This window comes from Homo sapiens, chromosome 13 (genome assembly GCF_000001405.40).
Source record: "Homo sapiens chromosome 13, GRCh38.p14 Primary Assembly".
NCBI classification, from domain to species: domain Eukaryota; kingdom Metazoa; phylum Chordata; class Mammalia; order Primates; family Hominidae; genus Homo; species Homo sapiens.
Genome location: NC_000013.11, coordinates 94,324,343 through 94,337,945, shown reverse-complemented (window position 1 = coordinate 94,337,945; position 13,603 = coordinate 94,324,343). Strand labels below are relative to the sequence as shown.

The 13,603-nt window shown below is 41.7% G+C and overlaps 1 protein-coding gene across 4 annotated transcripts in view, besides 1 other annotated feature; it reads right to left on the bottom strand.

The window, feature by feature from the left end:
* Positions 1–13,603, bottom strand: part of GPC6 (glypican 6) — a 1,191,492-nt gene that overhangs the window by 70,075 nt on the left and 1,107,814 nt on the right. The window lies entirely within an intron of this gene.
* Positions 10,483–10,592: an enhancer, noted in NCBI's record as "active region_7864". NCBI's record gives its function as "activates an Ori minimal core promoter by ATAC-STARR-seq in GM12878 lymphoblastoid cells {active_cell/tissue: GM12878}" and the evidence as "EXISTENCE:reporter gene assay evidence [ECO:0000049][PMID:35858748]".

Here is a 13,603-nt window from a genome sequence, read left to right as displayed (position 1 = left end):
AATGCCTCAGGTGTTTCATGAGATGGAGGACTTGGCAGATGGCACAGGCGTGAAGAGGAGGGAAAATGGGTGTGAATGTTCACAGGTGCCTCACTGTGTACTAGGCCCAGTTCTGAGGGCTTTCTGTGTCTTCTCCCGTTGGATATTATTATTTAAATGTAGATCTGATTACTTTGAAAAACACAGCTAACTACCTTTTTAAGTATATCATGAATTACGCCTGTAATCCCAGCACTTTGGGAGGCCAAGACAGGTAGATCACTTGAGGTCGGGAGATCAAGACCAGCCTGGCCAACATGATGAAACACTGTCTCTGCCTAAAATACAAAAATTAGCCAGATGTGGTGGTGCACACCTGTAATCCCAGCTACTTGGGAGGCTGAGGCAGGAGAATCGCTTGAACCCAGGAGGTGGAGGTTGTGGTGAGCTGAGATTGCGCCACTGCACTCCAGCCTGGGTGAAAGAGGGAGACTCCACCTCAAAAAAGGAAAAAAAAAAGAAAAAAAATGTATATCATGAATTAAATGTACTATCTATGTTACTAGCCCTGGCAGCTCCAAGTCCTGACTCTGCCCTCACCCCTAACCAGGTTGTGAATTTAGATGAAATAAAATTTATATTTTTATTTGACGATGGCCCTTTCCTCATCAGGCGCTATTTACTGCATCCTACAGATGAGAATATCAAGGCTTCAATACATGAAAATCCCTGCCAATGAGTCAAAGCCCCCATGTGAACCCAGATCCAGGTCTTCTGAAGAGTTCTCTCCAAAGAGTTCTGTATCATTTCTCCTCATAAGAAATGAGGGCAAATGTGTTGGTTCAAAGGCTCAGGGGATGCTGAGGCTGGTGGCCACAGATTTGTCTCTGAACAGGGTGAAAGTAGAAGGAGGTGTAAAAATTCTTTCCTCCTTGTGGTATCTCCTTTCTAGTGGTAGACATTTAACCCACCAGTTAGAAGGGTTTCTATAAGCCTTTATTTTACTGAGATATCATAAAACAAATTCAAAAGAACCTCCTAGAAGCATTAGCATTTTTGATCCCCAATATATTCACACTCTGGATTTATTTATTTTTTTAATTCTTAAGAGAATGAAGTTTTGGAATGCAATAATAGTGTGAGTGATAAGTCTGCTTCGCAAATGATTTTTTTTTCCTTCTGTAAACATAAATTCAATGATTTTGGATTTTGATTACTTTCCCTAAAACATGCTCACATTTACTTTCCTTGTTTTTTCCTTTCTTTTGTTGTTGTTGTTGTTGTTGCAGAGAAAGCAGATATTCCACAACCTCTCTTTCACGGAAGGTCACTATATTGAGCACCAACCCTTCGTTCATAATTCAGAAAGGTTCTCCATCCTGGGAAGAGCAACAAATTAAAAAACCGCTACCGACGTGCAGATATTTTACAGCGCAATCCAGTGAGACTCTGCATTTTCATACTGAGAAGTAAAATATGACCTAGACAAGACCCAGACACAGGCTCATAAGAAAGACTACGGGGCTTTAAAATTATTGCCTTGATCATGGAAAGAAACATGAGGAATCACTGGCAGCCACAACTCAGGATGGTCTTTGGGGGCAATCAGTGTTTGACAGAATCAAAGAACATCTGGAAATCAGCATATTTTGAGCTAGTTCACACCCTGCTTGGTTCATATTTCAACAGCTCTATGTACTAAGGCAGTTATATGGCCCTGAGAAAAGCAGCCTGGATTTATCCTTTGGGATTAAACAATTTCAGCAAAGCTAGCAGGAGAACAGGAGGTAATCCCCCCTCACTGGACTCTAAATGCTACACCTGCGGCTCGGGTGTGTCATGGCTCATTTTAACCTGCCTCAACATTTTCCGAGCATCTACCAGCAAAATGCTTTGCAGGGCATTTTACTCACAAAAATGACTCTCCAATCTACATAAGAAAATGTCTAACTAATACTTCCTGGGCTTCTGTCCAAGTAAAGATTGACACACTTCTCTCTGACTCTCCTCTCTACACCCTTTATGCTGCAGATGACCAAACAAGAAGGAAAAAAAAAAAAAAAAATCACAACAACAGTGAAGAGAGCAGGGTCTTTCAGTAAGACAGGAAGAGAACGATGAGGGAATTTAACAGATGGTGCTGATTTTGGCATGGATGTTCTCCCTAAAGTTCAGATAATAACTCTGGAGTCTCTATAAGATAGTTGATTCCCAAAAGGTCTTTATTATTTCAGAAACATGCAGTTCAAATCCACACACATATAAAACAACAGATAGCTTGCAAAGTGTCTTGGTTTTCTTCTCACAAGAACTCAAGAATCAACCCACTGTTTGTTAGATCCTGATTCTTTCAGGATTGTATATTCATTCTAAAACAGTGTTTAAGGGACATTTTATGGCAACTATTTATCCTACTAGATGTCAAACCTAAAAGACTGTAAATTTGCCTCTGAAGTGTCCCAGATTGTCTAAGGAACAAATTATGTGTGTTATTCGTAAAGGTCTCTGGACCTTTTTGAATATGTTTGTGATTGTACCTGATACTACTTCTTGGCAAGGATTATATATCAAGGTGTACCACCCAGTGTGGCTCGGAGACTCCTGGAAAAAGATCCCAGGAGGATACATGGTTTACTTTGTCTACTTCCTATAAGGGTTTGTGGACATTCAGCATATCCTATCCACCTTAATTTGAAAGGCTTTTTCCTGCTTTCATATGGTAGTATCCTCTCTATCACCTTATCTCCATAGGGACTTCTTTCTGATCCTGTTTTCTTCCCTTTATAGCGTTGTTGCCCTCCAGAGGGCCAGAACCACCATGGTTTTGGTAAGGATAAGACAACTCACTCTTAAGTACTTTCTAGATTATGCTTAGTAGTAACCCTTTGGGCCGCAGCACACTCCTGGACTGAGAGTCATGGACCAAGCCCATGAGTAATAACTGCATGTACTTCTACCTCTGAAGGGTTAGTTACAATCACAATAAATAGTTGCATTTGCATGGTGTCTAATAGTTTGACTGCCTTCACATACCTTTAATCACCCAATCACCATCAATTAGCTATAAATTAGGTATAACTATTAATATTACTCTTTTTATAGATGAAGACTCTGGGGCTTAGGGAGGGGAAGTAAAGGGCAGAGCTTAAAGCTGGATTTCCGATGGAAGGTCCAGGGCTGGCTCTAGAACATTACGCCTGATGTGCTCAGGAAGACACTCAAGCAAGGGCTCTGGGGCTGAATCCTTATTTTCTAGGTCCCAGACTTGTGCTTCTCAAACTGGGTTGTGCTTTGGCACCACCTGGAGGGCTTGTTAACACAATTTTGGGGCCCCACTTGGAGTTTCAGTTTCCGTAGGTCTGGAATGGGGCTTGAGAACTCGATGTCTAACAAGTTGCCAGGGAATGCTGATGCTGTTGTCCCAGGAACCATAATGAGAAGGCCACTGTTTCAGAATCTAGGACAGTGGTCCTCCATCTTACTTTTACACTAGAATTTCATGGCATGCTTTAAACATCTATATTGATACCTGCACTCTACTTTAGAAAGATTTGGTTATTGTAGAGAAGAATCAGGGGGCACTGGTATTTTCTGCTGTTCCCCAGGTGGTTGTAATGTACAGCTGAGGTTGGAAGTCACTGTTTTAAGGCAGGAGCCAGCAAACAGTGGTCTCCAGCTGGCTGCTGCTTTGTAAATAAACGTTAGTGAAGCACAGCCATGCTCATGTGTTTATGCATTGTCCATGGCTGCGTTCAAGATAAAAATGTCAGAGTTGAATGGCTGTGACAGAGACCACTGGGTTGCAAAGTCTAACATATTCACCCTCTGGCTCTTTCTAGGTAATAAAACAATATAGAGGGAACTACAGAAGATACCCTATACCTTCCAAGTTTCAATATATCTTTCCAAATCTTGATAAAGGCAATGTGGGGAGCATCAGAAAACAGAAAGAGGGTGAGCTCTTCTATAAGGGGCTTGACTCAAAGTTGTCATTTCATTTTTTTAAAATGACCTTTCTCTCTCCTTCTCTGCTCTCTGTACACCCATTCTCCTTTCCCACCATCTTAATAGTTTCTCCATCCTAATAGTTGCACAGGCTTCTCCATCATGCATTTGGACTCAGCTTCACTGGCTATCTTCATTGCATGCTCCCCTACACATGAGCAGCCTGTTGCAGTGGAAAGGGAATGGTAATTGGAGTCAGAGGATCCGAACTTGAATCCTACCTCTGCTACTTAGTTGTGCAATCCCAGGGAAACATACTTAGCTTCCATGGACCTCAGTTTCCTGACTAGCAAGACAGAGAATGCCCTACTCTTAGGGTTATTGCAGGGATTAAGACAGATGACTTGAAGTGCATTGCAAAACTGCCCAATGTCTTACACATTTCATTTACTAATTTGGCCATAAGTTCTCAGGAAAATGTACAAAGTGCAACTAAAGGACAATGCATTGATGTATTGATTTCCTTTTAGGATTCACCAGGAAGGGATAGGAACTGTACCTCTTCTAAAATTGGGTTTATCTTAGTTTGACAAGAGGGGAAAAATGCAAACTTTCTTAAGCCGCTGTTTTTATGACTTACTGGAATCCCAGGATTAGCACAGAGAGCCTGCACACTCAGATGCTGACCATAAGATGCCGTACAGCACTGGCCATTAGTGAGATTTATGGCCATGACTGCATCTAATGCATAATCTGGAAAAGGGCAAAATATGAGTTGAGAAACTATCTTTACCTAAAACTTCAAAGTTAGAAATGAAGTGGAAGAAATTTATAGTAAAAAATTAAGGGACGCCCTGAGTATTTCACAGCTAACTTAGGTGGCTCACAAGACTTCCTGGCTCAGCACTATATTAAGAGGGTAATGTATACCGATATTAATTCATAAAGCAGATGAAGACCCTGGAATCCTTTCCCATCCCTGATGCACAGACCAATTTCATCTCTAAATCCCTCATCTATCGCCCCTGGGAAAATCCTGTCATGTACAGAATCCTCGCAATGATTTCCAGAAACTTCATGTAAACATACAGAGAAAAGAAAATGTTAACCTCTCTCATAACTCACAGGCAGTGGCCAAAGAGAAAAGTGTCTTTCTTGTAAACAGAGATCCTCACATCTGTTACTTCTCTTGCAATCTCCTGACATCAAATTCGCTCATAGCAAAACTCATTACTGGTCAATTCAGTGAAAACCACCAAACTGATTTTGTTTATAAAAAATTCCAGAACATTACAGGAAACAAAAACCTTTTCGAAAATAATCTATTTCTTGCAACAATTCGACACAACGGCATTATTATTTCTATGAAACTATCATAAGATTTTAAATCACATGTTTTGAGCTCTACTCAGAAGGCAGATTAGCTGCATTTTGGTATCTCCATGCCAGAGACCAACGGCTGAGCCAGCCCCACACCAGAGAGAATAAACTGGCAACAAAAACTATGTACAGAGACATTAGGCAAAGACTTCGCATTTTCCATTTTGATAAAAACTTGCAAAATGGAACAGCAAGAATATAATTTGAGCAATCCGTCAGACCCAAGACTGCTAGTATCTTTCTTTTGTTCTTTTATTCCCCCTACTTGGAACTTTCACAATTTATCACATTGCAGATCTAGGAGCACCATTTGAATAAGATTAGGTGATGGCTAATTACTACAGTTCAGCTGAATCCAGCTGCCATCCATGGGCCTTGTTAAAGCCCCCAGTGACCAACTTCTTGGCCTCATAAGCACTTATTGGAAGAAACCAAAGCCAAAAAAGGATGAGAAAAGGGGCCCAAAAGAATTATAAAAGAAAAAATTAAATTTTTGAATATCGGGTAATAGTCAAAGGAATGTCCAGTTTCTAGAACCTGTTCGGGGAGATTCTTCCAGCCTGCTCTTATCCACCTCTCCCTTCTTTAATTCCTGTTGCACAAAGCATTACTGCCTCATAGTTTGCAATGACTGAGACTCAGATGGAGAACAGAAATAAAATCTTACATGACTTTAGATTTCTCCATCGCTTATTGACGAGAAGAAAAAAAGAGAGAGAAGAGCACATGTTTTTAGTTGACGAACTCTTTGATATAATCCAAAATTGGCTTAATATCTATATTCCAATGCTTAAAACTTTCCCTGAGGAAGAAATCTCTTGCTTGAAAAAGACTGGTACCCAAATTAATTCACCTTTTACTTTTCCTAAGTAGTGATCCTTGCTTTCCATCTTGCCTAAAAATCTTTGTATTCCCAGGTTTAACTCAGAATTTTCATACTAGGATCCTTTCTCATACTATTTGGAAATGCATGAATTTATGAAGGGTCCATTTTAGGTGGACACTCAAGCAATACTTCCAACAACTTGACAGACAAATGCTGCTGTCCGTGGACAAGGATGAACCTCTCTTTGTTCTTATTTGTGGCTACAATGCAGATAGATCAGTTCTGGGCCCTCTGCCTGACTCCATGTAACCACACAGCTGCTTAAAATCTGCTTGGGATTAGGGGTGTACACTGGGCTATGGAACCAACTAAAAATATGGGCCCAGATGGTCAGCAATCACTCAACCCTGGCCTCATTTAGGGGTTGCTGTAAATCAGGGACGGGCAAACTTCCTCTCTGAAAGGATAGGTAGTATTATTTTAGGCTTTGCAGACCATAGGGTCTCTATCGAGATGACTAAGTGCTGCTATTGTACTGTCAGTACAGCATTAGACAATATCTAAATGAATGAGCAGGGCTGTGTTCCAATAAAGCTTTATTTATTAAAATAGGTGGCTCGGCCCGTAGGTCATAGTTTGCTGATTGCTGCAAAGAAACTTGTCTGACTAGCTGACCCCAACTCTGGTTTACCTATTGTACTAGTCCCCATCCTAAAAATCACTGCATACAGTTTCTTAAATCTGCCAGTTAGAGTTGATGTAGCACCCTCCAAATCAATCTAAAATGTGATAGAAAAAGGAGGCAAATTTTTTTATTAAATATTTGGAGGGAGGCCCAATTTCTGAGATCAGAGGAAGATACTAAACTCGTAGAACAGTCTTATATGGTTATATCAATGTAACAATCAGCCTCTTAAGAAAACCACATAAAAGGACAGCAATCAACCCAACAAACCCACTAGATCTCGTATCCAGAGCTTTTTGAAATAGGCTAAGGTCTCAAGAGATATATAGGTGAATATGCAGTTTCTCCTCTGTACCTTTTTGAGATTACACAGGGAAAAACATGGAGCACAGAGCTCATTGCATATTGACTATTATCATCCACCTTTAACAGACAAGGATTTGAGCTGTGCTTCTCTTAGCATGATGTACCTACGAATCACCTGGGATCTTGTTGAAATGCAGGTTCTGATGCTGCAGGCCTGGGGTAGGACCTGTGATTCTTCATTTTTTTAACAGGTGATACTGATGCTGCCAGTTTAGGAATCACATTTTGATAAACAAGGACTTGGGGAAGTGGCTAGCAACCTTGGCTGCACCCCAAGGACATGCTTTAGGAAGCTTTCCAAATACAGATGCTGGGTCAGTCCCAAGCCAAACAGATCAACATCTCTAAATACGAGGCCCAGGCATCAGTATTTAATGTTTCCCAGGTAATTTTCATGTACAGTCAAGACTGAGAGTTCCTGAGTTAGAGGCTCAGAGAAATTAACTGACTCGCCCAAGGTCACTTGGCCAGTGGCCAAACAGACTTTAAACGGTAAAAATTTTGCTGGCCCCAGGATCTTTGAAAATGATCCTAAAAATTATTACTAGGCAGGCATAACATAGGCAAGGGTTGCATCGTTTCCATAAGAATTGCTAATGTGAGAGAGAGAAGAAGAGGAAAGGTGGGATTAAACTTATGCAGGGAGTTATCAGTCCTGATCGAGGGAACACAGAGAAAGCAGGCAGCACAGTTGCTCTGTTCCAGTGTGAAATTCCCTTTCAAGGATCACTATTTCTTCATGAAAGCAACATGGTAGGAGCCTCTCAGAAGGCATATTCAAGTTCAGCAATGCGCAGTACCTTCAGCTCCTTTGATGAATCACTACATGATGAAACTTTAGAGGCTGAGTAATCACATTTGGCTTCGTTTCTGCCTCTTGGGAGGTTCAAAAAGTCATGTTTATGGGAAAGGGTAAAATTTCTGACCCAGGGATTTTTTTTTTGTCCCAAATAGGACCAAGGTAAGAGAAGAGGAGGAGGAGGAGTAGGAGGAAGGAGGAGGAGGAAGAGGAGGAGGAGAAGTAAAGCAATATTGGGAAATTATCAGACAACCCAAGATTTTCTGAATCTCCTAAACCCATTCAATCCCATGTTGTGAATGGAGGTCCATTTTCATCTGGAAAAACATGAATTTCAATTACATTTACACAATTGTTCAACCACAGTTTTCAAGATCAGATGCATTTTCTCACTGTCTGCAGATCCTGTGGAGAATAAACCTCCCCCCTGGGATGAAGACCTTGGCTGTGTAATTTGGGACATGCTACCTCAAAGGGAAAATGAAAGCGTGATTCTCTTCTGAGGGAGGAATTGGACATCTCCCAGACTAAGCAAATGGCAGCTGCAGACGGTACTGCGAGGCACAGATCTGCTGCTGGGAACGACATCCTTCGAGGTGGAAGATGTGAGGGGCCCAGGGTGCGGTGGGCCCTGGGAACACTGTGAACTCATGTGAAAATTCCTAACGTTGAACATGCAGGGAGAACCCAGCGTTTTGCCAAATGTTTTCAGGAGCTTAAATTTTAAGCATCATTTTCCTGCACTTCTGTTCTTTTTGGATATTCTTGAGGACATTTTAGTTTCTTTATTTTGTCCCTCTCTGGCTCCATTTTGGGCAAGAAAGAAATACAAATCTTACTCTAAAAGATACTAACCAGCTCTTTCAAAAGGGAAATAAAGCTGAGAACTCCAGTGTCAGTGGGAAGTATCTCACCAACTCCATTTCAGCCCCCCCCGGGGTTCTTCCTCAGGAGCTCCAGAGTTGATGGGGACCCATTGGTCAATGTTCAGAGGGGTCACAGCAAACACATTTCACACTCACACAGAAGCTTACAGTCCTGTCGCTCAAAGGGACTGCAGGGCCTCTGCAGTTCACCCCTGGTTTTAACGATGAGCAAACGAAGGCTTGGTGATGGGCAGTGACCTGTCGAAGGTCACATAGTGATGCAGGGGCTCCCCAGCCAGCATCTCCTCCCACAGCAGGCTGCCCACTTCCCCAGCGGACGTGGAGCAACAGACTGGAATGAGCCCCCTTTCCTTTCCCTGAAATACTCAGTGCAGTGACTAACATAAGGTTCAGAAATATTATTTGTTTGTTTATAATTTATATACAATTGCTTCCTAGAAAGACTTGCAGGAGGCAGGGCCATGCTGCTGGCTGTGGATGGGGTCTCTCTTCACGTCTGCTCCTGACAAACACAGAGCAGTGATGTCAGACGGCAGCTGCCATGAGTGAGACCAACGACAGGACAGCGACAGAACAGCCAGAAAGCAAAGCTTTGTTCCAGCATCCCCAGGAAGTCTTCGTGTGGCTTTTCCCTCTCTCCACTGGAAACCTCACTTTAGGGTGAATCCTTCCATGTAGGAGCCACGAAGTCATTTTACATGTCTAATTAAGAGTAGTCATTCTTCCAAGAAACATGCATTGAACACATTGGCATCGGGCATGGAAAGATGGAAAAGGTAGGTTCTCAAAGCAGTAGCAGTCCACTTAGCATGTGAGGTGGTATCTATCAGGATCACAGGCGAACTTGTTAAAAATACAGATTTGCTGTCCCCTGTACCCCACTGGCTGACTTAGTGTGGCCCTGGGTTGGCCCTTGGGAATCAGTATTTTAATAAGTTTCTCATGTAAATGATCCGAGTCCCACATATTCCGAATGCTGGTCTAATGTGCAGAGGAATCCTTTGAGACAACAGCCACAGATCCTTCTCTACTGTTGGCTTTGTAGGCGATCTCCAGGAAGCAGGAAAGATCACCCTTTCCTATTTTTTCTCCCAACAAAATCGGAGGGGAAGGGGGAGGAAGCATGCTTGGATGAAGAAGGCAGGTTTACCATCTCCAGGTGTGCAATGTGGCCCTGTTTCCTCTCCTAGAAAATCTCTCAGCTAAACTCCTGCCCTAAGAAAAGGAGGCACTGAAGCTGTTTAAGGAAAGAGAAAACTAGGTGAAACTCTTTGCACTTAGATTCCATTTTATAAGGGGCAGTGATTTTTTTTACTGGGTATCACACTTCCTGTTAATAAAGTGAAAAAACAAAGACGAAAAACCTCTCACAAAAATACTCCGACCCACTCACTTTTGAATCTATATTTTTAGTCAATGTGACCACCTCAGTGTTACTGTAAAAGTGAAACTCTTGAAAAGGGGACCTGGGTCAGAGTAAAGTGTCAGTTTCGTGAGCAGACATTCCTCCAAGTGCTTGGCATTTTTAGAATGTTTTGCTGTCGTTTTTTGCTCTGACTGCAGTAAACGAACCGTGATATGAAAACACCATTTTTCCTGTGTTGTGGCCTAGCATTTCCTGAGAGAAGCCACAGCTGTGAGGTAGAGATGGGGGACATGGTGGGTGCAGAGGATAGAGAAGAAGAGAAGAGCTGGGAAAGAGACGCAAAAGGCCCACAAAAGGGAGAAGAGAAAAACATCTGCAATGAGATGCTCTGTAATTAATCATCTCCACGAAATTCCAAGTCTCCAAGCCCCGTCCGCCATGCAGTTTGCTGACACAGAGGGGGAAAAGCACTTTTACAAACACACAACTAGTAAAACCGTTACAGCTACGTGAACAGCCAGGCTCCAGCAGAAGGCAGTGGCCCTTATTTTTAAAATTATGCATGAAATCATACATGTGGAGAAAAAGATAACAAATTCCCCTTTCTATGCCTTGGAATATGGGAGTCCCAAAAGTATCCTGAGAATATTTGCTGTCTCATGTTGGTGCTGATAGACGCTAAACTACCAAAATATTTAGCTGTAAAAGTCCCTTGAGAACGTTATTGTTGATAAAATACCAGTGGGGGAGCTGGAGGTAGACCCTCCTTTTCCCACGCTTGCATTTCTATAATAGATTGTCTCATAGGAGGAGGGAACAAGTTACTCTGACTTAATTTTCCTTACTCACAGAGTGCCCGTGTTTGCAAGCTGGAAAGACTCTTCGAAATCTCCTTTACTTTCACTCACTGTGTTGCTTCCCGCCATTTAACTAAAAGAGGAAAGGTTAAAGGACTCACTAAAGTTTCCAGCACATTTTCTGTGTTTTCACTGCAAAGTGACAACATGTAGGCCATAGAATTCCTCTTAACAGTGAATTTTAAATGAGTTTGGATGAAAAGGATAGTCAATGTAGGTTTATTGATGGTAACAAACCGAACATCTTGTGATGGTTGGGGAGGCTGTATTTACGTGGGGGCAGACTTTTGATGTGAAACTAAAACTGTTCTAAGAAAATAAAGTCTGTCAGAAAAGAGGATCCATCCTGTTTGTGAAAGTGGACAGTGGATCCAAGGAGTCTGATTCTACTTTTTTTCTTTGTGATTATAATTTTGTGAAATAATTTTATTTCTGTTCCAGAAATAAAAAACCTAGGTCTTGTTCTGGCTCCTTATCTCTGCACTTCTGATATGCTGTCCTTGTGCCATAAATCTTAACTTTGTGCCTCTGTTTCTCCTATTATTTTAAAAGGAGAGGAGTCAAGATGAGGGAAGATAAATAAGGTAAGATAATTCTCTATTTTGGAATATATGTGCCTGTGTGTGTGTGTGTGTGTGTGTGTGTGTGTGCACAAGCATACCAAAAATACCTGATCTTAGTGGAAGAAAATATAAATAAATACAGTCAAAGTGATTTTAGTTATTTCATCTTTCTGGATTCTAGTGTTCTCACTGGTAAAGTGAGGGCATGGAGATGGATGTTAACATCCCTTCCAACTCTAAGCATCCCTGAATGTAGAGCAAATTCTGGAAATGTTTGGAATTGCTTGTCCCTGGTAGTAATGTCAATCTGCATGCCTGGCTGGATGCTATCTTACTGGCTTCCCCATGTGACCACCACGAAGGAGCGTCTTTGAGGGAAGGAGGTCATGGTCAGAGCTTCTAAGGATCAGGCTCTGGTCTCATTGTCGTCTTGCTCTGCTTACCCAAACAAGTTATCTTGCTTTTAGCCTTGGCGTGAGTCAGCTCAAAGCCAAACATGGTAAACCAAAGAGCTCTTCGGGTCACACGGATCAAAAGGGTTGGGAAGGAGCTGACCTCAATCCAAGAAAATGCAATTATTTGAACCCAGAAGACAAAAATATGTAATAGGGATTTTAACCAAAAGCCAGTAATCCTGGAAGGGCTTTTTACAATTCCCATGAGCCTTTTAAATAACTTATGCTGAAAGCTTCTTATTGTTTTAAATCAATAGAGCCATAGCTTTTACTCCTAATCATCAGTTCAACCGAAAATAATTTACTTGATATTATACTATTAGTATATAGGAAGCGCTTATAAAATGAGGACCTTGAATCCCAAATTCCCATGATCAGCAGTCTTTGAGAATATAACAGTGATTTAATGAAAAGCAAACTCAGATGCATAGTTGATTTAACGTTCTGGGAACACACAGTAGTTACTGGCGTCCAGACTGACTGCCCTCTGCCCTGCCTTTCACCAAGTTCCTTTCTTTACTCCCCTTGGAGTGAGCACAAATGAGTGAGCCGCGTTCTTCTCCAGGCTTCATCATAGAATTCTCTGAAGTTGCTCTGGGCACTAAAAATAGTCCTGGTGTCAGAAAGGAACATATCTTTCTTCTTTCTTCTCTTCTCCTCTTCCTCCTTTCTCCCTCCCTCCCTCCTCTCCTCCCTTCCTTCCCTTTTCTTTTCCCCAAACAGAGGCACTTATGAAAGTACTGTGGACGACAAAGAAGAGACAAAATAGCAGTAAATCCCTAAAATGTCTGTTCACCTCTTGTTTGACCTTTGACGGCAATAGAAACATCACAGACACCACGAGGATTCTAACGTTAGGCCCCTGGGAACAGAACATTCGGCCCTGGGAGTCTCTTCAAGAGAAACATCAAATTGCTGGTTCCAGTTGTTTCAAGTTTTACAAATGAGATATGGGATGTGAAAACCCTTTGTCTATCCTCACGCATGTCACAAACGTGGCGTATCCTTATTAGTATTTGGTGAACGACTATAGGCTGCCACACAGATTCTGCTTCAATCTGGAACTATGCTGCATTTTCTGAGATAGGACAATGGGTGGACATAAATCTAGAACAGAAATTAAAAAAAAAAACAAAAAACCCAGGTCTTGTTCTGGTTCCTCAGTCCCTTATCTCTGTGCCTCTTATCTGCTATCTTTGTGCCGTAAGTCTTAACTTTGTGCCTCTGTTTCTCTTATTCTTTTAAAAGGGGAGGTGTCAAGATGAGGGAAGATAAAAATAGCTGCAAGATTCTTCTTGTGGCTGTCATTCCCCATAGTCAAACCTACTCTCGAAGCGCTGATCATTTTACAGTTAAATTACAGTTGGTAACTTGTCCCTGTGTTCACCTTCAAGGGAGTTTTTTTAAAAAGGCTATTTCAAATGCTGTTCACCTTCACATTCAATTCAATCACCTATTTTGGGGTTTTCATGTCCTCTACCAGTATTTCTACCTT